Source organism: Homo sapiens, chromosome 18 (genome assembly GCF_000001405.40).
Source record: "Homo sapiens chromosome 18, GRCh38.p14 Primary Assembly".
Taxonomy (NCBI): domain Eukaryota; kingdom Metazoa; phylum Chordata; class Mammalia; order Primates; family Hominidae; genus Homo; species Homo sapiens.
This window is the reverse complement of record NC_000018.10, coordinates 6,047,305-6,071,869: the sequence shown is the minus strand read 5'-3', so window position 1 is coordinate 6,071,869 and position 24,565 is coordinate 6,047,305. Positions and strand designations below refer to the sequence as shown.

General features: G+C 38.4%; 1 protein-coding gene across 24 annotated transcripts in view, besides 1 other annotated feature; it reads left to right on the top strand.

The window, feature by feature from the left end:
* Positions 1-24,565, top strand: part of L3MBTL4 (L3MBTL histone methyl-lysine binding protein 4) — a 460,543-nt gene that overhangs the window by 343,390 nt on the left and 92,588 nt on the right. Inside the window, exon 17 of one of the 24 annotated variants that reach the window (XM_011525762.3) lies at positions 12,552-21,925. The exons of the other annotated variants lie outside the window; for them this stretch is intronic. Within the exon in view, the coding sequence (XP_011524064.1) occupies positions 12,552-12,811 (260 nt within the window). The 3' untranslated portion in view covers positions 12,812-21,925. Of the gene's footprint in view, positions 1-12,551; positions 21,926-24,565 lie in introns of those variants that run through there. 24 annotated transcript variants of the gene reach the window in all.
* Positions 15,766-16,060: an enhancer, noted in NCBI's record as "tiled region #6254; K562 Activating non-DNase unmatched - State 24:Quies". NCBI's record gives its function as "activates a minimal TATA promoter and a strong SV40 promoter by Sharpr-MPRA in K562 cells {active_cell/tissue: K562}" and the evidence as "EXISTENCE:reporter gene assay evidence [ECO:0000049][PMID:27701403]".

The following is a 24,565-nucleotide window of genomic DNA, read 5'->3' as shown; positions in this document are numbered from 1 at the left end:
TTCCTTCCTCCCTCCCTCCCTCTCTCTCTTTCTCTTTCTTTCTTTCTTTCTTTCCTTTCTTTCTTTTTCTTTCTTTCTTTCTTTCTTTCTTTCTTTCTTTCTTTCTTTTTTTCTTTCTTTCTTTCCTTCCTTCTTTCTTTCCTTCTTTCTTTCCTTCTTTCTTTCTTTCTTTCTTTCTTTCTTTCTCTCTTTCTTTTTTTCCTTCTTTCTTTCTTCTTTTTCTTTCTTTCTTTTTTATGGGATCTATCTCTGTCACCCCAGACTGGAGAGCAGTGGCGTGATTATGGCTTACTGCAACCTTGGCCTCCCAGACTCAAGCAATCCTCTTACCTCAGCCTCTCAAAGTGCTGGGATTACAGGTGTGAGTCACTGCACCCAGTCAACAGGAGTCTCTTAATTGAAGGATTTAATACATTTCTATCTAATGTTATTAGTGTTAAGTTGGACTTAGGGCTACTATCTTTTTTTTTTTTTTTTTAATTGAAAGAGTCTCACTCTGTCTCCCAGCTGAAGTGCAGTGGTGTAATCCTGGCTTCCTGCAACCTCCACCTCCTGGGTTCAAGTGATTCTGATGCCTCAGCCTCACAAGTAGCTGGGATTACAGATGTGTACCACCATGCCCAGCTAATTTTTGTGTTTTTAGTAGAGACAGGGTTTCACCATGTTGGCCAGGCTGGTCTCAAACTCCTAGCCTCAAGTGATCTCCCCACCTTGGCCTCCCAAAGTGCTGGGATAACAGGTATAAGCCACTGTGTCCAGCCTATTGCTACCATCTCTATAATTGTTTTCTATTTTTCTCAGTAGTTTGTATTCAATTTTATATTTTTGCTGTATCTTTTTAAACCAAAATTCATGTGAGTATACCATTCTCCCTCTATTAGCTTGTTGTTTATTTATTTTTAATATTCTGTTAGTAGATATCCCAGCTACTACAAAATGCATCTTTATCTTTATATAGAATCATTTTTCCTCTATCTGAAAAATTATCTTTTGTACTTCATTCATAGTGTCTTCTAGTTATTATTATTTTTTTAGACAGGGTTTCACTCTGTCACCCAGGCTGGAGTGCAGTGGTGCGATCACAGCTCAATGCAGCCTCAACCTGCGGGGCTCAAGTGATCCTCCCACCTCAGCCTCTGGAGTAGCTGGGCCTACAGGTGTGTGCCACCATGCCCGGCTAATTTTTGTTTTTTTTGTTTTTTGTTTTTTGTTTTTTGTAAAGATGGGATCTCACTATGTTGCTCAGGCTTTTCTCAAACTCCTGGGTTCAAACAATCTGCCCACTTTGACCTCCCAAAGTGTGGGATTACACACATGAGCCACTGCGCTTGGCCTAGCTGATTTTTTTTTTTTTTTTGAGTAAGTTTTTCTTTGTCCAGAAATATCCTTTTTTCACCCAAACTTTTGAAGAATATTTTTACAGGTTATAGAATTCTAGATTGGCAGTTAATTTTTTTTCAGGCTTTAAATATGGTAATCCGTTGGCTTCTGACTTCTATTGTTTCTCTCAAGAAGTCAGCTGTAGCTTTATTGTGTCTGTTTGAAAGGAGTATGTCTTGGAGTGTGTCACATTTTATCTGATTACTTATAAGATTTTTCTGTTGTCTTTCATTTTTAGCAGTTTTACTATGAAGTGCCTTATATTTGTCTCTTTAGGATTCATAGTGCTTAAATCTGTGGGTGTATGGCTTTTTACCACTTTGAAAAATTTGACCATTATCTCCTCAAATATTGTTTATGCTCCATTCTCTCTCATTTCCCCTATTGAGACTCCATCTGCGAATATATTAGACTTTCTTAGTTATGTCTTAAGAGCTCTTTTCATTATTTCCCCTCCGTTTTTAGTACATGCTTCAGCCTGGATATTTTTCTAGTGGCCTATTTTCAAGATCAGTGATTCTCTCTTCAGCTGTCTCCAAACTGCTATTACACTCATGTAATTAATTTTTAATTAAATTATTGTTTATTTCTTAGTTTAGCAATTTACCTATGTATGATTTTAATAGACCTTAGTTCTTGAGTAAAATTCTCTATCTTGCCATCTAATTTTGTAAACACATTAGTCACCGTTATTTATCTGAGTCATCTTTTGCCTTTGTTATTGGAGCACTGAGTGAGTGATATCAGCCTCGCCAACTGCATGGGAGCTGGGTGAGGCTTACTGCTGCCTGCTCCTCCCCACTACCTTTGTGAACTCTTCTGTGCAGAAGAGGCAGTTATACTCCCTTCTGGAACATTAGCCCAGTGGCCTGAGAACCACCTCCCAATCCTCACAGTGGCCGCAGCTAGCCCAGCTCAAGAAGAGTCAGAGCACAGACCCGCCTAACCCTGCCCTCACTTGGTTGTGCCCCTTCACCCACCCTGGTAGCTTAACACAAAGGACATAAACTTTGGGGAACTTTATAGCCCTGCCTGTCACCTGAGGAAAAAAAAAAACAACACTTTCCTGCAGCAACTTATGGCAAGCTTAAATCCCACTGCTACTACTGCAGCTGGTTGCTCTTTTGCAAATGCCACCTCGTGGCTGGAGGCCATCCAACACAGTCCATTAAGCACCTCTAGGTAGAATGCGCCCAGGAAGGAGAAAATGACTATGTGACCTCAGATATCACCACTGCGTACAACACCCTGACTAACCAGAGGTCCTGAGCCTGTCCATGTGGCAAGTTCACTGCAATTGTAACTCTCATTTGAGAAATCCAGCACACTAAGCCTTATCTCCAACCAAGAAATCTCACAGAGTGTATGTAACTGCCCTGCCATCTCCATCAAAGATGGTGCTGGTGTACACTGCTGGGAGACTTGAAATTAGTTCACATTTCTGGATCCCTTGCAGACATTCCCCAGCATCAGCTCAAAGTGTGGTAGTCCCACTGGGTATCTAGACCCAGAAGAGCACTAACAATCACTGTGGTCTGGGTCTCAGGAAGTCTCATTCCTAGGGGAAGGGGGAGAGCATCACATCAAGGGAACATCCCATGGGAAAAAGAATCTGAATGGCAGGCCTTGAGTCCCAGATCTTTCCACTAGTGGGACGTTTCTTATAGCAGAGACACAATTGCAGTGCTGGGTGCAGTAAAGAAAGTCTACACCTCTACCCCAACAATCAGGCAGCATCTCTGATCATAAAGGGGCTTGGAAAGGGGGTCCTTTTCCCACTGGTACACCACTGCACACACAGCTGGGGCTTCTCCCAGAGGAATGCAGTGTAGATGCACATATAGATGGCCTTCCAGGAACAATTTAGGGTGATTGCATCCCCACAGGAGGAGCACTTCTCAAATTCAGGCTTGCAGAGTCACAACTCCTCTCTACTTGGAACATCAACATTCCTACAGATGCAAAGAGTTACCTGTCTGATCTGAATAGCTGGAATACTGGGACAGGAAGGTGGATAGCTTTCCTGCTTGCCTGGCAGGGGAGCTGAGGTGGCTTCCACCCTTCACTCTGATAAAACCTCAGCACATTTAATTTAGAGCTCCCCCAGGCACCTTCATCAAGGCTGGGACCTCTGCCCACCATTAGATATATCTATGCATCTCTTTAGCTACCACCAATACCTACCCCAGGGATACCTCTCCTATTGGCCTGAAGGCTGAATCATCAGCTTAGTAAATAAAATACTGGGAAAAAATTAAATAAATAAAAAGGTGTACACCATGGGAGAATGAGATAAGCTTCAAGAGATCCTAGCCATTCCAACCCTACAGGAGACAGTGAACTTACCCACAGGCCAAATGCATGGTTACTGCAACCAGCGTCTGGGAAAGCCAGCGCACAAAAACTCTCTTTAAGGAACTCCTACAGAGTCTTCCCCACTAAAAGCATTAAGAATCAAATTAGGCTATAATAAATGATAAACATTAAAGTCAGATCCTTAAGAGGGAAAAGAAGAAATTAAAGAAAAAAACACAGTCAAATCAAAAATAAATTTAAGAACAATTTGAAGAAATGGTCCACCCAAAATAAGAAGAAACCAGAAAAGTAATTCTGGTAATATGACAAAATGGGGTTCTACAGCATCCGCAAGAAATCACACTAGCTTTCAGCAATGGATCCAAACCAAGATTAAATCTTTGAAATACCAGATAAAGAATTCAGAAGGTTGCTTATTAAATTACTCAAGGAGATACTAGAGAAAGGTAAAAAACAACATAAAGAAATTTTTTTTTTAAATTTAGGATATGAATGAAAATTTTCCAGAGAGATTGATGTCATGAAGTAAAACCAGTCAGAACTTCTGGAAATGAAAGTCACACTTAGGGAAATGCAAAATACAGTGGAAAAGTTTCTTCAATAGACTAGAAAGAATCTTGGAGCTCAAAGATCAGGCTCTAGAATTAACCCAGTCAAAGATGAAGAAAAAAGAATCTCAAGAAATGAATAAAGTGTACAAGAAATATGGGATCATGTAAAATGGCCAAATCTAAGAATAATTGGTGTTCCTGAGGGAAAAGAGAAGTCTAAATGTTTAGACAACTTATTTGAGGGAATAATTGAGGAAAACTTCCTTGGCCTTGGTAGAGCTCTATATATCCAAATACAGAAAACTCAAGGAACTCCTGGGAAATTCATTGCAAAAAGATCATCACCAAGGCACATAGTCATCAGGCTATCTAAAGTCTACATGAAGGAATGAGTTTTAAGAGCTGTGAGACAAAAGCATAAGGTGACCTATAAAGGAAAACCTATCCAACTAACAGCAGATTTCTCAGCAGAAACCCTACAAGCCAGAAGGGACTGGGGTCCTATCTTTGGCTTCCTTAAGCAAAATAATTGTAAGCCAAGAATTTTGTATCCAGAAAAACTAAGCTTCATAAATGAAGGAGAGATAAAGTCTTTCTCAGACAAACAAATGCTGACAAACAAATATGCACCAAAACAGAACTTCCTTAAAGCACAAATCTCACAAGTCCTATAAAACAATAACACAATGAAAAAAAAAAAAACAAAGTATCTAGGCAACATCTAATATGATCACTAGAACAGTACCTCACATCTCAATAATAATGCTGAACGTAAACGGCCTAAGTGTTCTACTTAAAAGATACAGAATGGCAGAATGCATAAAAAAATCAACCAAATATCTGCTATGTTCAAGAGACCCACCTAACACATAAGGAGTCACATAAACTTAAGGTAAAGGGGTGGAAAAAAATATGCTATGCAACTGGAAACAAAAGTGAGCAGAAGTAGCTATTCTTATATCACACAAAACAGACTTTAAAGCAACAACAGTTAAAAAAAGACAGTTAAAGAATGACATTATGTAATGATAAGAGGATTAGTCCAACAAGAAGATATTACAATCCTAAATTTATATGCACCTAACCCTAGAGCTCTCAGATTTATAAAATAATTACTACTAGACCCAAGAAATAAGGTAGACAGCAACACACTAATAGTGGGGCACTTTAATACTTCACCAACAGTACTAGAAGATCATCAAGACAGAAACTCAACAAAGAAACACCAGACTTAAACTATACCCTAGAACAAATGGACTTAACAGGTGTTTACAGAACAGTCTTCCCAAATACAGAATATACATTCTATTCATCAGCACATGGAGCATTCTCCAAGATAGACCATATGATAGACCATAAAACAAGTCTCAATAAATTTTTAAAAATCGAAATCATAACAAGGGTCTTCTGAAACCACTGTGGAATAAAACTGGAAATCAACTCCAAAAGGAATTCTCAAAACTATACGAATACATGGAAGTTAAATAATTTGCTCTTGAATAATTTTTGGTTTAACAATGAAATCAAGGTCTAAATTAGAAAATTCTTGAAAATGAATGATAATAATGACAGAACTTATCAAAGCCTCTGGGATACAGCAAAAGCAGCCCAAACAGGAAAGTTCATAGTATTAAATGTGTACATCAAAAAGTCTGAAACAGCACAAAATGACAACCTAATATCACTTCTCAAGAAACTAGAGTAAAAGAACAAATTAAACCCAAACCCAAGAGAAGAAAAGAAATATTAAAGATCAGAGCAGAACTAAATGAAATTGAAACAAAAAGAACATTACAAAAGATAAATGAAACTAAGAGCTGGTTCTTTGAAAAGATAAACAAATTTGATAGACCATTAGTAAGATTAACCAAGAAAAAAAGAGAATATCCATATATGCTCAATTATTCAGTGGAAATGAAACTGGATATATTATAATTGATACCACAGAAACACAAAATATCATTCAAGGCTACTATGAACACTTTTATGCACACAAACTAGAAACCCTAGAGGAAATGGATAAAGTCCTGAGACATAAAACCATCCTAGATTAAATCAGGAAGAAATAGAAGCCCTGAACAGACCAACAACAGGCATCAAGATTTAATCAGTAATACAAAAATTGCCGTCAACAACAAAAAAGTCCAGGACCAGATGGATTTACAGCTGAAGTCTACCAAACATTCGAAGAAGAATTGGTACCAATTCTACTGAAACAGTTCCAAAAGATAAAGAAGGAATCCTTCCTAAATCATTCTATGAAGCCAGTATCACCCTAATACCGAAACCAGGAAAGGACATAACAAAAAAAAGAAAACTACAATATCCTTGATGAACATAGATGCAAAAATCCTCAACAAAATACTAACTGACCAAATCCAACAGCACATCAAAAAATAATAATAATACATTATGATCAAGTAGATTTCATCCCAGGGTTGCAGGTATGGTTTAACATATGCAAGTCAATAGATGTGATACATCATATAGATAGAATTAAAAACAAAAACCATATGATCATCTCAATAGACACAGAAAAAGCATTCTATAAAATTCAACATCCCTTTATTCTAAAACCCTCAAAAAAATACACATAGAAGGGGCTTACCTCAAAATAACAAAAGCCATATAAGGTAAACCCACAGGCAACATTACGCTGAATGGCGAAGAGTTTAAAGCATTCCCCCTGAGAACTGGAACAAGACAAGGATGCCCACTTTTACCGCTTCTATTCAACATAATACTGGAAGTCCTAACCAGAGCAATCAAACAAGGGAAAGAAATAAAAAGCATCTGAAGTGGAAAAGAATAACTCAGATTGTCACGATTCATCAATGATATGATAATATGCTTAGAAAACCCTAAAGACTCATCCAAAAAGCTCCTAGATCTCATAAACAAATTCAGTAAGGTCTCAGGCTACAAAATCAATGTACACAAATCAGTAGGCACCAACAATGACTAAGCCAAAAATAAAATCAAGAACTCAATCCCTTTTCAACTGCTGCTGAAAAAAAAAAAAAACCTAGGAATATACTTAATCAAGGAGGTGAAAGACTTCTGCAAGGAAAATGACAAAGCACTGCTGAGAGAAATCATAGATGGCACAAACATGTGGAAACACATCCCATGCTCATGGATGGGAAGAATCAATATTGTGAAAATGACTATACTGCCAAAAGCAATCTACAGATTCAATGCAATTCCCATCAAAATACCATCATCATTCTTTACAGAACTAGAAAAACCCATTCTAAAATTCATATGGAATGAAAAGAGAGCCTGCATAGCCAAAGCAATACTAAGCAAAAAGAACAAATATGGAGGCATCACATTACCCAACTTCAAATTATACTACAAGGCTGTAATTATCAAAGCGGCATGGTACTGGTATAAAAAATAGGCATGTAGAACAATGGAACTGAATAGAGAACCCAGAAATAAAGTCAAATACTTACAGCCAAGTAATCTTCAACAAAGCATACAAAAACATAAATTGGGGAAAGGGCACCCTATTCAATAAACGGTGCTGGGAAAACTGGCAAACCACATGTAGAAGAATGAAACTGGATCCCCATCTTTCACCTTATACAAAAATCAACTCAAGATAGATCAAAAACTTAAATCTAAGACCTGAAACCATAAAAATTATAGAAGATAACTTTGGAAAAACTCTTCTGGACATTAGCTTAGGCAAAGAATTCAAGACTAAGACCCCAGAAGCAAATACAGCAAAAACAAAAATAAATAAATGGGACCTAATTAAACTAAAAAGTGTCTGTGCAACAAAAGAAATAATCAGCAGAGTAAACAGACAACCTACAGAGTGGGAGAAAATATTTGCAAACTATGCATTTAACAAAGGACTAGTATCCAGAATTTACAGGGTACTCAAACAAATCAGCAAGAAAAAAAAATAATAATCTCATCAAAAAGTGGGCAAAGGACATGAATAGACATTTCTCAAAAGAAGACATACAAACTGCCAACAGACATATGAAAAAATGCTCAATATCACTAATCATCAGGGAAATGCAATGAGATACCACCTTACTCCTGCAAGAATGGCCCTAATTAAAAAGTCAAAAAAACAATAGATGTTGGCATGGATGTGGTGAAAAGGGAACACTTTTACACTGCTGGTGGGAGTGTAAACTAGTGCAACCACTAGGAAAAACAGTATGGAGATTCTTTAAAGAACTAAAAGTAGAACTACCATTTGATCCAGCAATTCCACTACTGGGTATCTACCCAAAGGCAAATAAGTCATTATATTAAAAAGATACACACACACACACACACACACACACACACACACACACAGATATTTATAGTAGCGCAAGTCTCAGTTGCAAAGATATAGTACTAACCTAAGTGCCATTGACCAATGACTGGATAAAGGAAATGTGGTATATATACACCACGGAATACTACTCAGCCATAAAAAGAAAGAAATGAAATAATGCCTTTTGTAGCAACTTGTGCAGAGCTGGAGGCCATTATTCTAAGTGAACTAACTGAGTAATGGAAAACCAAATATCATATGTTCTCACTTAAAAGAGGGAGCTAAGCTATGAGGATGCAAAGACACAAGAGTGATATAATGGACTCTGGGGACTCAGGGAGGAAGGTTGAGAGGGGAGTAAGGGATAAAAGATTGACTGCATATTAGGTACAGTTTACACTGCTTAGATGACGGGTGCACTAAAATCTCAGGAATCACCACTAAAAAACATCCATGTAACCAAAAACCACCTGTATCCCCAAAACTATTGAAATTAAAAAAAAAAAAATTGGAAATGCTAGTATTCAAAAACAAAATAACAGAAATGAAGAATGCCTTTGACGGGCTCGTTAACAGAGTCAACATGACTGAAGAAAGCATCAGTGGGCTTTAAGCTGTGTCCGTAGAACTTCCCAATCTAAAAAGCAAAGAGAAAAAAAAGATGAAAAAGACATTACAGAATATCCGTGAACTGTGAGAACTGTGGGATAATTACAAAGGGTAAACGTGCAATGGGAATACCAGAAAGAGAAGAAAGAAGAAAAGGAGCAGAAGAAATATTTGAAATGATAATGGCTGAGAATTTTTCAAAATTAATGGCAGACACTAAAACACATATCCAGTAAGCACAAAGAATACCAAGAAGGATAAATATCAAAACATCTGAACCTACATATGTCATATTCACACTATACAAAATCAAAGATGAAGAGAAAATCTTGAAAGAAGCCAGAGGAAAATAATCACCTTACCCATAGAGGAGCAGTGATAAGAATTACACTGGACTTCTCTTCAGAAACTATGTGAGCCAGAAGAGAGTAGAGCGAAATGTTTAAAGCATTGAAATTTCCCACAACCTATAATTCTGTATGCGGTAAAACTATTCTTCAAAAGTGAAGGAAGAATAAAGACTTTCTCAGACAAACAAAAACTGGGGAAATTTGTCTCCAGTAGAACTGCCTTGCAAGAAATTTTAAAATAAGTTTTCCAGAGAGAAGGAAAATTATATGGGTCAGAAACCCGGAACTACTTAAAGGAAGAGCATTAGAGAAGGAAAAATAAAGGTAACATAAAATATTTTACTTTTTATAGTCTTAATTGATAACAGTTTGTTCAACTATTTTTTAATAACAATAGCAAAAATTAATTAGGTGAGTATAGCTTATGGAGAGGTGAAATGAATGCCGGCAATAACATAAGGGATGAGAGGGAGAATTGGGGAATATTCTGCTATAAGGTGCTTGCATGGTATAGCGCTAGTAGAAAGAGGACTTAGGTAAGTTGTAAGTGTATAGTGCAAACTTCAGGGCAATCACTAAAAACGTTTTTTAATTTAGAAGTATAATTGATATGATAAGAGAGAAGAGAAAATTGAATCGTATAAAGTGCTCAATTAAAATCAGAGAAGGGAGAAAAAGAGAGGAAGACTAGAAAAGAAAGAACAAGTGCAACAAATTCAAAATGAAACAAACTCAGGATGGATCATGGATCTAAATGTAAAATGCAAAACAATAAAATTTCTAGAAGATAACAAAGGAGAAAATCTAGGTGGCCTTCAGTTTGGTGATTATTAGAATAAACACCGAAAGCACAAACCATGAAAAAGAAACTAGATAAGTTGGACTTTATTAAAACTAAACATTTCTGTTATATGAAAGAATCATTAAGCAAATGAAAAAAATGAGTCCCAGAATGGAACAAAAGATTTGCAAAACATATATCTAAGAAAGGAATTGTACGCAAAATGTACAAAGAACTGCTAATATTCAACAGTAAGAAAGCAATCCAATTTTTCAAAGGCCAAAGATCTGAACAGACATATCAGCAGACACAAATGATAAATAAGCATATTAAAAGATCAACATCATATATCACTTGGGAATTGTAAATTAAAATGAGATACCACTACAAAACCTGCTAGAAGGGCTAAAATCAAAACACTGACATACTAATGTGAAGCAACAGGGACTCTGTCATCCATTGCTGGTAGGGAAGCAAAATGGTACAGCCGCTTTGAAAGATAGTTTGGTAGTTTCTTGCAAAGTTTCTTACGAAAGTAAAACAGACTTAACATATGATCCAGCAATCACATTTCTAGGCATTTATGCAAATGAATTTAAAACTTATATTTGTACAAAAACCTCCACATGAATGTTTACAGCAGCTTTATTTATAATTGTCAAAACCGGAAGCAACCAAGATGTCCTTCAATAGGTGAATGGATAATAGGTGAGTCTGTGGATATATTCATACAAAGGAATATTATTCAGTGATAAAAAGAAATTAGCACCAAAAAGACATGAAGGAGCCTTAATTGCATATTGCTAAGTGAAAGAAGCCAGCCTGAAAGGGCTACATACATAATTCCAAGCCTATGCAATATACTTGAATATGGATATTTTGTAAAAGACAAAGCTACAGAGATAGCAAAAAGACAATAGTGGATACATGTCATTATGCATTTGTCAGAACCCATAGAAATGTACAATATAAAGCCCTAATGTAAACTAAGGACTTTTAGTTGATAATATTAATAATATATCAATATTGGTACATTAATTGTGAGAAATGTACCACACTAATGTAAGATAATAATAGGGGAAGACATGGGATTAGGGGTAAAGGGGGCATATGGGAAATCTCTGTACTGTCTGTTAAATTTTTTTTTTATAAACCTAAAACTGCCCTGAAAAATAAAAGATCAATTTTAAAAAGAAAAAAAAAAAAGCTGATTGCGAGTACTTCGTATCTTCATAATGACTCAGCAGTATTTGGTGTACCTGAATGCGTTTTAATGTTTTAGGCATAGAGGAATAGGACAAACTGGAGTAGCGGGGAGAGGAAAGGAATTATTTGCAGTGGACTGAAAGATCATTCTAAGGGAAGGAGCTGGATAACCACATAGCTCAAGGATGCTATTCTGACAATTAAGAAAAAGAAACTGATGGCATAATGAGAGTATGTAATGAATATTCTCCATTTTAGCCTAGAAAAAATTAAATATCTATTATAAATGACAATAGAGTTGTAAGACAACATAAACAAGATACTGGTTCTTATGGAACACAGATATTGCATCTGTTATTGATAATACTCTCCTGCAGCACTCTACTACTTTCTTTAGATGTCAATTAAAATATTAATAACAAAAGCTTACAAGATAGAATAGAATGTAGTCAGTTTCTCATTACAATGGATAGCTTTTAGCCTTACTTCACTTAGAAAAAATAAATACTAGAGAACTTTATCCCAGGTTAGACACCAGCTGCCATTCTAATGGCCTCTAGGCATTCTAATGGCCTCTAGGCTTGGAGGTGCTAAGATTGAAATGATTAATTTGTTTCCCTGACAGATCTTCTGAAACACCTCCACTCACAGCTCTGCTAGAAGCGTCATCACAGCAGCCAATGAGGCTTTAAGTGAGAAGAAGATTCTTGGAACTGAGTGGAGGGGTCTGGGTGCCCTCTTAGTCTCCTTTCTAGGATATCAGGCTTTTTTTTTAGCTTGGTTTTTAATATATTCTGTATTATCCTTCAAAAAAATCCATTTGCCCTTCTTTTCATACAAAATTTTTTCTTATCAAATTCCAGAAATACATGAAAATGAGAAAGCCAGTTTTCTTGCTGGAATACAAGACTTTGGTTTAAGGTTTATGGATTATGATTTATGGATTTTTAAGAATTATAAACATTATTGACAAAATATTTTGAAATTGTAAATGTGAAGAAAAGTTATACTGCAAGAATAAGAAAGTCTGAGTAAAAATAAACCTGCTTTAATACGTAGATACTTATTTTTAGGTACAAGGCTTGAGGGAGTGACAACTCTGAACACCACATTCCACAGCAACAAGTCTGGTGCATGTGGGCAGCCACGCCAGAGGCTTCCTTGGAGTATTCCAGAAATAACCCTCTCGAACTGGAGTCTGTCTCTGACACATCCTCTTCTCCATACTGACACTGTCTCTGGTTATAATAGAATGCAGCTTCACCTTTCCACATCACTCCAGACTAGATGCGTAATCAGTCCCTCTGACACTGCTGCTGGAATAGTAATCTGACACCTGCCGTCAGCTGAGGGTCCTTGGCTATTGACTGTGCAGAGCTGTGGGAGAGTGGACAGCCCAGAGACAACCGGAGAAGCAGATCTTATTACTGGAATAATTGCACCTTTGTGTTCCAACACTGCACAGTATTTTTCTCAGGAGCCAAAACTGGCTTCTAAGATTCTTGGATTCCAGGCTCACCATTCCAGGCAAGGTGATAGGGAATTGTAATAACTTCACCTTATTCCCGGTATCAGATTAACATGCATGTTGGCTTTGAAAGATGTGGCATTTCCATCCTTAGAGTCTATGAACATGTACGGATTATTTATGGGTGTAGAGGATGCCCCCCAAAGTAAAGCAGTTCTCTCCTTTATTCATCATTCCTCCCACAGCACTGCCAGGCTTTGTCTTCTTTGTCTCTAATTGCAGTGCTAAAGGGAAATGTCCCCAGGCCAGAGCAAAGAACCTTTACCTTCAAATATACCTTGGATCAAAGAGAGAAAGCCCCTGCATCCCTCCATCAGATTGATAGTGTGAGACACTTTTTCTCTTGATTATGGGTACCGTGGACTTGAAAAAAAACAACAAAAACAAACAAAAACTTCCCTGATTCATAGTCTCCTTGGGGAGACAGGCCTGTTTTGTACGAAAAAGTTTTCTAAACCTGAGATTTATACTCCATAAAGACACAGACAATGAGGAACAATTCAAGGCTTGTTCTAAAGGATGCAGCAAAAGTGTTAGGTAGAAGGTTCAGGGTACTGGAGCAATGTAGAGAATGAGGCCGTGGAATTCCTTTTCTTAAAAACCTTCAGACAAAGATTGCCCTGGGATTCTCTACCCAGACAGCACTGCTATTTTGACATTTCATTAAATTTCTAAGAGATAAAACTTATAAATAGTAATGCCAAGCACCTTATGTCTAAGGAGAAGAATCAGGATTTGATGTCTTGATTCCCACACGTATCATTGGACAATCTGTTTCAGTTCAACTGAAATTCATTACTGAGAACTAGAAAATGAGAGTTGTTGCTGGTTCCAGCATACTTGAGTTAAGTCATGTTGATTATTACAAAAGTTAAGACACAAGAAATTTTTATCTCTTTATAAATTAAAGGAATAGCTATTATGAGCAATTTTAGATAAGGAAGGGGCATAAAATATTTCAATACCATATGAAAATAGGCTTAGGAACTATACCTGATATATGTTAAGTATTTGGTTGAGTCACTCTGAGTACACTGCTTGTCTTGTTGCTATGGTTACTGCTGCCTTGTGGGGGTACACCGTGTATCATTTTTGTCATGGACTTTATTTATTAGCACAGACAACTCTTTCTTCTATTATTTACGTGGTTCTCCCTCGTTCATTATTTTTTAATGTTTTTCATTGTTGATTTGTTTTCTTTTTTTGAATACTTTTTAGTTGATGCATTTTTTTCTTCACATTTTGACTGCCAAGTTTTCAGTGATTTTGAGGTTCAGAAAAAGTCAGATTATAAAATAATCACAAAAAAATTAATAAAGTAAACAAGAAGTATTTAAAGAAAGTAGAAACTAAACAGAGAGAGAAGTTTCCTGAGTTTTTTAGATATAGGTATTTTGATGACATTTTTCTCTTTTATTTGCCTTTAGAAAGAGATAATTAAAAAATAAAAACCAATTTTCCCCAGTGGTGATAGATTGTTATACACTCTTGCCTAGTTTTTATTCTGTTATTATGAAAAACATACTTTTGGCCAGGCGCAATGGCCCATGCCTGTAATCCTAGCACTTTGGGAGCCCAAGGCAGGCAGATCACGATCACCTTAGGTCAGGAGTTTGAGACCAGCCTGGCCAACGTGGCAAAAACCCATCTCTACTAAAAATACAAAAATTAGCTGGGCGTGGTGGCATGCCTGTAATCCCAGATACTCGAGAGGCTGAGGCAGGAGAATCGCTTGAGCCTGGGAGGCAGAGGTTGCAGTGAACCAATATTGTGCCACTGCACTCCAGCCTGGATGAGAGAGCGAGATTCCATCTTAAAAAAAAAAAGAAAAAGAAAGAAAGAAAGAAAAGAAAAATTAGCAGTGGCATCAAATAACTGTTTTCTTAATATGTTCACTATGATAGTAATACTGATAATAACAATATGTTCATCTAGCAGTTTTCATTTATAAATTACTTTCATGTCTGTCCCATTTTTCCTCTGAAAGATTGTGGTTTCTGTTTTACTGTTGAGGCACTTGATCTGCAGAGCAGGTGATTTACCCAACGTCACACAGCTCAATAATGACAGAGTTGCAGCTTAGAGTGACCTCTGCAAATCCAGAGCTTTTCCCCCATGGCCTACCATTTCATCAGGACACCCACGGAGTTAACTGACTGTGTGGTTTCACGGAAAGTGCCATTAGAAGTGGGGTTGGAGACCTGACTTTAAGCCCAGCCACAAACTCGCTTTGTGGCTGAGCCCTGGGGGTGGGCCTGAGTCTCCTTGCCTGTCGCATAGAGAGCCTTTCTCTACCTCTCAAAGCAGCTGAGTGCATAAGAAAGGGCATTAAAAATAAGGCACACTATATATAAAGGTCTGACCAGCACTCAGACATTTCTCCATAAATTCATTGGAAGTAGGCTAATAACACTTCAGAGGGAGCCTCCTGCCCAGTGCCTCCTGCCTAGCAGGGGCCCATGTGGTGTGTGTGCTCAGGATGCAGTGACTTTTGCTTCCTGTCTGACTACTGCTGAGTTCTTGCTCAAACACAAAAGCAAACTTCTGCTGAAACTTTGAGAATTTTGCTTTGTGCTGAATAGATTGGCGCTGAAGTCCGAAGGCAAAAGCCATTTCAGTGTCTCTGACATGCTTGTTTGTTTAATGACAGTCTCTTTTTTCTTAAGAAGAATGCCTTTCTGCTTGGCCAGAAATTTCTTCTTGGAAATGACAGAATCGCTGTCTCACTGTTAATGAATTTTACAGCCCAGATTCCTTTTAGTTTAATGAAATATGGACATATCAACCCAAATCCATGCTTTAAAACAAAGTAGAGGAAACTACCACTCCCCCCGAAACACTGAGGCGTTTTCCGCCTGGCTGACCAGTGCAACTCTGAGGTCATCGCCTTATAGCCACTTGCATAGTGATTAGATTATGGTTCACAGTTGATATTAGTATGCTTTAAAAATAAACACAAAGTCCCTTATACAGAGAAGAGGCTGAGGACAAAAGCTTAGTCATCTGTGATTCACATACATATCATGAAGTATAATAGTGGAAGGATCCTTCCCTGGGGGTCTGAGAATCTGGGTTCCAACTCAGTCACTGTTTCTCTGGCACTGGGCACCCCTCCCCCGGACCACTGTGAGATGATGCTTTGTGCTTGGCTAAATTGCAGAGGTTTTTAATTGTTTCCTTATTATATTTTGTATCAAAAGATGGTTTTTAAAATCACTTCTGTTAACATGAGGGTTGGAGAATAACAAGTTTTCAAAGTTGTAACTCTTGTTTGAGCATTGTTTTCTATTTAGCCTTAATATAAAAAACCTTTGCTGACCAAGCTGTCTAGATTGCCCCAGCAAAAAAATCAATCAGTCAATCAATCAATCAATCTGTGCCTTTAACATACTATCGAAGAAAACTTACTTTCAAATATATCTGGTCAGGTGAATGGTTCTTCCTCTTAACGGTTGGGGCATAGAACCCTACACCTCTATCCCAGCCTTGACAACTTTTAAGCCTAGTGATTTGAAAGATAATGAGGTCTGAGCAAAGTGAACATGGTCATAATATCAGATGTCATTAACAATATAAATTAATCAGAGAATGAATGTCCAAAATGTCAGAAATTTTCTTTGGGGGGCTTCATTGTGCCAAAGGTTAAAATATCTTTAAACATCATGAACATCTAGGAAATTCATAAGAGAAGTTGGGATGACTAAAATGGTTTCTCTTTCATATGTAACTCAGGATGATATAACTAGTCACTGAAAATAGGCATGAGATGAAATTTGACTTGCTTCTCCAAATGGACAGCGCTAAGGTATCTAGTCATACTGTCTCACAGATTCCTGAGGTTAAAGGTGCAATTCCTCTGAACGAGGCTTAAAACCAGGTGTTTTCAACTGTATTTTAGTGTCTTCCAGTGGATTCATGTGGAATAACCTGTAAGTGAAGCAGAGGGAAGCTGAGCTTCAGGGAAAGGGAAAAAGAGCCCGAAGCCCAGTTGTGTGGTGCCACCTCCCTGGCCATGCAGGGGCCTTGCGGCATTTCCACAGAACCATGTCTGTGGTCCCAGCATCATTCATGGGTTCATCCAGGACATATTCTTTACATACCCAGCATTATTCTAGGCACAGGCCATACCACAGTAAATAAGAGCAGCGCTGGTCTGAGCTGTTGTGGAGCTCTGTGGCGAAGCGTTAATCTGTTTGAGGTTACAGCTGAGATAAGTGCCAGGCAAGGGCAGCACAGGGCTGGGAGATCAGGGCCTGTCTCTGGGAAAGTGACATGGCCCAGATCCAAAGGATGAGGGGAATGAAGTGTCAGGGAAGGGGCGGGGGCGAGGGCAGAGGGCCTCGGAGGAAAAGAAGGATGTTTGCTAAGTGGTTCCATTCACTGGCAGTAAGAGTACTGAGTGTGGTAAACCCCTGGAGGGAGTATCTGATTTGATATTCTCACAGAGAGAGGAAACTAAGGTACAGGAATTGACTTTCATACCCCTGACTCCACACCTCAGGGATGGAGCCAGGGACTGAATCCAGGTCTTACTACAGAGCCTGTACTGGACTGCCATCCTGCACTGCCTCCTAATGCGAGCCGGTGGGCACTCTGGGGGACTTAAGTGACAGCAATGTATGAGACAATCTGTTTGCCAAGAAAAAAAAATTGTGACGATGCAGGCTGAGTCAGGTGTCTCAGTCCATCAGTTTCGCATACTAAGATCTACAGTGCTGTAAAGATGGAGTTTAGAGAGTCTTTAGTGGGGAAGATGTTATCACTAAGAATGGACAAACACACAAAAGCATTGAGAGCCTCTATCTCCCAGGTAGGAAAGAAGCAGAGGGACTTGAAGAGCAACATCAGAAGAGAGGTGTTGTGTTTGCTAGCACCTGGCAAAAACAGGCAAAAAATGTCTTTTATACATTCTGAAGTATAGAACTTAACCTAAGCATGTCAATTAGACTTTGCAAAAGCATTTGCACGCCATGATTTTTTTCAGTCACTTTTCACATATTTAGGTCATCTGCCTTTATTGAACATATCATTTATGTGCCCACTAGACTGTGAACTTCCCATCAACTTAAAATAACAACAGAGGGAGACAAGCTCTCCAAAGAAAGAGTTTACTGGGGAATAGCAAGAAATTGTCATTAGGATACGCATGCTGCAGTGGACCATAGGCGCAACCAGAGAAGCAAAGGAAGGCAAGGTTTTTAAAGGGGAAAGGAGGGCAGTTGCATTCGTTGTTTTGAAGCAACTATCCTTGGCTACAAGTATTAATAACAAGGGTGAGTCAGTCTATTAGTGAACAGGCCATTAATGAGCAGGCATCCTCACAGAAGTAATCTTTGTGCAAGGTTGCGATGGCCTTTGTGAAGGTTGTGGTGTTGGCAGCCTTTTGTGATAGTACCAGTTATCAGACAAATGTGCATGAGGGCCTTCCCTTCATGGCCTCCTGTATCCATTTCGTTAGGATTGGACATAAGTGACTCCATTTTGGTACCAGCAACTTTCACATTCTTATAAGCAGGAAATCTTCACTTATTTTCGCATCCTCTTAGTCTAACCCAGTTCCAGTCCTGCAGTGGAAACTCAGTACTGAGTGAATTTTGTAGCATTTCTGAAAATAAGTCCCTTGCCTCTTTCTCTATGTTTATTGCCATCACAAATTAGTATTTTAGCTATGCAAGCAGATGCTTTACTAACACACCTAACTAGATTAGAAATTATTTTACTGTCTTAGCATAGTGTATTGTGAAGAGCCAACACTAGCTGGAAATGCATGACACTCCTTCTACCATTTAAAAATAGAAAGACACAATGAACAAGGACTGGTTGATAATCAACGTTTGTTTATTGGACTTGTTCTTCCGAATGATAAATTTGTTCTGGGAAATACAAATTAACGGGACGTCCTGCTGGAATCCTCTGAATTGTGAATGTTTCTGCCTTGCCAACAAGTGTGCACTGTAGTTTAGGGATTTACAGCACTCCATTTGTATAGCACGATTTCGTCCACTGCAGTACATTTTCCATTTTGTTGGCCTGTTCTTTCCCTGAGAACTAGCAGTGTTGGAATTCTTTATGTCCATTAGCCTACTAACGCACTGAGTCTTGAAACAGAAAATTCTCCACTATTGGCAAAGTAAGAAAAAGTGAGCCATTTGCAAAACGTAAATTCAGATTCTCTTTCTTTCCTCAGAAGATTAGATGGAAAAATACATAAGAATTGTGTAACTTGCCCTTTCAGCTGCAAAGGGCAAACAAGGATATTTGACCTTTATTTTCATTTGCTTAAATGTTTGAAGACTGATATTTGTTATTCCACAAGAGGCGTAGAAGTGCAGTAAGCCCCACTGTTCACTGTAGCCAGCAACTGGCAGGGAGTAAGTACTGATTCATAGTTATTACAATCCAATATATTTCTTTATTAAAAGTTAGCTATATATAAACTGCCATATTCTGAAAATGTGTAATTAATTTGATACTGAAAAATGCTGAACATATTTGTATTGCTTTGTGATTCAGAAAGCACTCTGTAGACTTAACTTCAGAGCCATTGTTTTAACATCACTTTAAATTGTATTTATCCATGCGACCATGCCAGTTAATAGGAATTTCCAGTTGGTAGCATGCTATCAGTAGCTATGTATATTCATAATTTAAAAATCAAAACATCAAAGAGAAAATGCTTATGAAGTCGACTTAAAGGAAATTTTTAGTCATTACTAAATATTTCTCTAAGTTCTTACAAAGCCTTTGGAGCTGCCTCCAGTTGCTTTTCAAAAAACCCATTTCTAAAGTAGAAATGTTCTCACTGAACAATTGGTATTAGGGAAACTGCAAGGGAAACACCTCAGAGCTCAATAGCCAAAGACGCACCATCAATGTTGAATGAGACAGAGTCTCTACTGATGGGAAATTCTACAAGACTCCTCTGGTGTTTTCTGTGATATCTGTTCCAGCCCCACAGTGGCCACTTTCAGTTCTCCCCCACTATTAACACTCATCCTGCCAAGCCAAGAATTCTTAAGGTAGTGTAGTGAACGCCATGCTGAAAAATAGGCTCTTACGGTGCCGGGGTCCGTGAACACAGCTCACCACTCCGAGGAGGAAACCTTCCCTTAGCACAGGCACCACCTCCTCAGACAGTCCCACAAATACAGGAAGGTGGTGGCTCCACCCAGGGCCACAGTCATTGTCTCCACCACAGTCACAGAACACGCCCAATCCACTGCCGACATTTTGAAGAAAGGGCCGCAATCATCCACTGAATCTGTCCTACCAAGGAAAGCAAATCAAGCTTGCTGCCCTATTCGTTTCTTCCTTTTTTTTTTTTTGAGACAGAGCCTTGCTGCGCCGCCCAGGCTGGAATGCAATGGCATGATCTCAGCTCACTGCAACCTCCGCCCCGCAAGTTCAAGCGATTCTCCTGCCTCAGCCTCCTGAGTAGCTGGGATTACAGGCATGCGCCATCATGCCTGGCTAGTTTTTGTATTTTTAGTAGAGACGGGGTTTCACCATGTTGGCCAGGCTGGTCTCGAACTCCTGACCTCGGGTGATCCATCCACCACAGCCTCCGAAAGTGCTGGGATTACAGGCGTGAGCCACTGCGCCCGGCCTGCTGCCTTATTCTTGAATGGAGATATTCATGCAGACTGTCATGACCTCAGCGGCATCTCATTGCCCCAGAGTCGGCAGAATTTTAGTCAGGATCCTTCTGGACTGGCAACCAAATTAGCTTGGTGCTCTGTGTTCTGTTGACTAGCATACACTAAAGACACAGTGTGGAATACTAGCAAAAGGAGTTCTGCGGGATGTGCCTCCCTCAGGCTGAGAAGGTGTCCATGCATCAACATCACAGGCTCTTGCAGCCTAGCACTGACCTGGCGGCAGCTGCCACCAGCACCTCTCACATCGGCTTCCCCAGAGACCTGAGGCCAGAGAAAAACAGGATCACAAACTGTGTTGATATCACATGTCCAGAATTCTTCAATATGTAGCACATTAAGAACAGATCAATACACATTCTACAACAAAATTTGCTTCTTATTCTATTTTTCCCATTATGAGCTGGGAGGAATAAAAAATTCCCCCCCTTAGCTTTGTCTCCCTCTCTCCAGAACTCATTTCAGACCCATGCTATTTCCCTAAGAGAAGAAGAGAAAAAATTTCATTAAAAAACGGAAGTCATACACTTCACAGCAGCAGCCCATGGAGCTACTGAATTTTATTCAAATAGAAAATATGAGAGCACACTGGCATCAGATTATATTTGCATTTTGGAAAATATTAGGCATTGATTTTGTTGAGTTGCCCTAAGCTATATACTTTAGAAATTATTGTGCACAGGTAATAATAGAGGGTATAACCATTTATAAAGACTATGGAACTTTGCTCTTAAATTGTAAAAATTACACAGTGAATTTATTAATATTTTTATCATTATAAAGTCTACAAGGTTAATTGCTTTTCAGAATGGTGAATGTAACTAGTTTTTACAGTTTCTATTCAAAGGAAAATGCTAAAGCTAAATCAGCCAGGATTTTATATGGTCCTAAAGCGTTTCCCTGACATCGTGTGGGAGAGTATGAGGGGAGAACAGGATTTGGTGAGAAGTCAGATTACGCAAGTTCTTTATCCAGAGGAAAGGGATACAGATAATTAACTTTGCATCCATCTTTTGACCCAGTACCCTCCCATGTCGCATTGTCACTATGTCACTTTATAATTTTTTTAAAAAAAGTTTGGCCTCTTATTATGCCCAATTGAGTAGCATGAGTATTGTGGGTAATTTCTTACTTATAATACTCAGTATCCTGTATTTACTGCCTTCCTGAACTCTCACCTATGTTTTGCGATAGAATTTTGCTAGCTCACATCCTGATCAGTTAAAAATTTGTATTAACAAATAAAGAACATGAGAGAATTGCAGAGGTGTGCTCTGTGCAATTACAAATTGAGCTTTGTGTGCAGTTACTTTCCTTTTTCAAAATAATTTCAACTTTTATTTTCAATTCAAGGGTTACATGTACAGGTTTGTTATACGGATATATTACATGATGCTGAGGTTTGGGGCGTGAATAATCCCATCACCCAAGTACTGAACATAACACCCAATAGTTAGTTTTTCAACCTTTGCCCCCTTTCCTCCCTCCTCCCTCTATTAGTTTCCAGTATCTATTTTTGCCACCTTTATGTCCATGAGTACGTGATATTTAACTCCCACTTATAACCACGTACATGCAGTATTTGATCTTCTGTTCTGGTGTTAATTCACTTAAGATAATGGCCTCCAGCTGCATCCACGTTGTTGCAAAAGATATGATTTCATTTTTTATGGCTGCATAGTATTCCATGATATATATGTACCAGATATTCTTTATCCAATCCACTGTTGATGGGTACTTGTATGTTTTCTATTGAGGAATGTCTGTTCATGCATTTTGCCTACTTTTTAATGGGGTTATTTGATTTTTGCTTGTTGATTTGTTTAAGTTCCTTATAGATTCTGGACATTAAACCTTTGTTGGATGCACAGTATGAGAATATTTTCTCCCATTTTGTAGGTTGTCTGTTTATTGATAATTTCTTTTGCTGTGCAGAAACTTCTTAGTTTAATTAGGTCCCACTTGTCAGATTTTGTTTTCGTTGCAATTGCTTTTTAGTCAAATTCAAGGCCAATATTCAGAAAATGGTGTTTCCTAGGTCTTCTTCTAAGATTCTTTTCTATTTTGCCTTTTTTTTTCTTTTGTTTGGAGAACGGGGTCTTCCTCTGTTGCCCAGGCAAGTCTCAAACGCCTGGGCTCAAGCTCTCCCCTCACCTCTGCCTCCCTGAGTGCTGGAATTACATGTGTGAACCACCATGCTGAGGTTTTACATTTAAATCTTTAATCCATCTTGAGTTAATTTTTGCATATAGTGAAATGTAGTGGTCTAGTTTCATTCTGCATATGGCTAGTCAGCTATCCCAGCTTTACTGAATAAAGTCTTTTCCCCATTGCTTGTTTCTGTTGACTTTGTTGAAGATCACATGGCTGGAGGTATACACTGTACCAGTACCATGCTGTTTGGGATTTTTTTTTTTTTTGAGATGGAGTCTTACTCGGTTGCCCAGGCTGGAGTGCAGTGGTGTGATCTTGGCTCACTGCAGCCTCCGCCTCCCGGGTTCAAGCGATTCTCCCACCTTAGTGTCCCTAGTAGCTGGAATTATAGGTGCCCGCCACCACACCCGGCTAATTTTTAGTAGAGACGGGGTTTCATCATGTTGGCCAGGCTGGTCTTGAACTCCTGACCTTAAGTGAGCCACCTGCCTTGACCTCCCACAGTGCTGGGATGACAGATGTGAGCCACCATGCCCAGCCAATGCTATTCTGATTACTGTTGCCTTACAGTATAATTTGAAGTTGGGTAATGTGATGCCTCCAGTTTTGTTCTTTTTGCTTAAGGGTACTCTGGCTATTTGGGCTATTTTTGGTTCCAAATACATTTCAGAATTATATTTTTTAATTCTGTGAAAAATAACATTGGTAGTTTGATAGGGATAGCATTGAATCTGTAAATTGCCTGGGGCAGTATGGCCATTTTAATGATACTAATTTTTCCAATCCATGAACATGGAATGTTTTTCCATTTGTTTATATCATGTATGATTTCCTTCAGCAGTGTTTTGTAGTTCTTTATAGAGATCTTTCACCTCCTAGGTACTCCTAGCTATTTTATTTTTATTGTAGCTATTTGAAATGATTTGGCTCTCAGCTTGAATGTTATTGGTGTGTACAAATGCTACTGATTTTTCTACATTGGTTTTTGCATCCTGAAATTTTACTGAAGTTGTTTACCTGTTCTAGGAGGCTTTTGGTAGAGTCTTTAGGGTTTTCTAGGTGTAGAATCGTACTGTCAGCAAAGAGAGATAATTTGACTTATTCTTTTCCTATTTGGATGCCTTTTATTTCTTTCTCTTGCCTGATTGCTCTGGCTAGGACTTCCAGTACTATGTTAAATAGGAGTGGTGAGAGTGGGCATCTTTGCCTTGTTCCAGTTCTCAAGAGGAATGCTTCCAGCTTCCAGCTTTCGCCCATTCAGATGTTGGCTGTGGGTTTGTCACAGATGGCTTTTATTATTTTGAGGTATTTTCCTTTGATGACTAGTCTGTTGAGGGTTTTTAACATGAAAGGATGTTGGATTTTATCAAAGGCTTTTTCTGCATTTATTGAGGTGATCATATGATTTTTGTTTTTAATTCTGTTTATGCTGTGAATCACATTTATTGATTTGCATTTGTTGAACCAACCTTGCATCCCAGGAATGAAGCCTACTTGATTCTGGTGAATTAACTTTTTGATGTATTGCTGGATTCAGTTTGCTAGTATTTTGCTGAGGATTTTTGTGTCTATATTTATCAGGTATATTGGCCTGAAATCTTTTTTTTCATTGTGTTTTTGCCAGATTTTGGTATCAGGGTGATGCTGGCTATGTAGAATCAGTTAGGGAGGAGTCAGTCTCTCCTCCTCAATTTTTTGGAATTGCTTCTGTAGGATTGGTACTAGCTCTTCTTTGTACATCTGGTAGAAT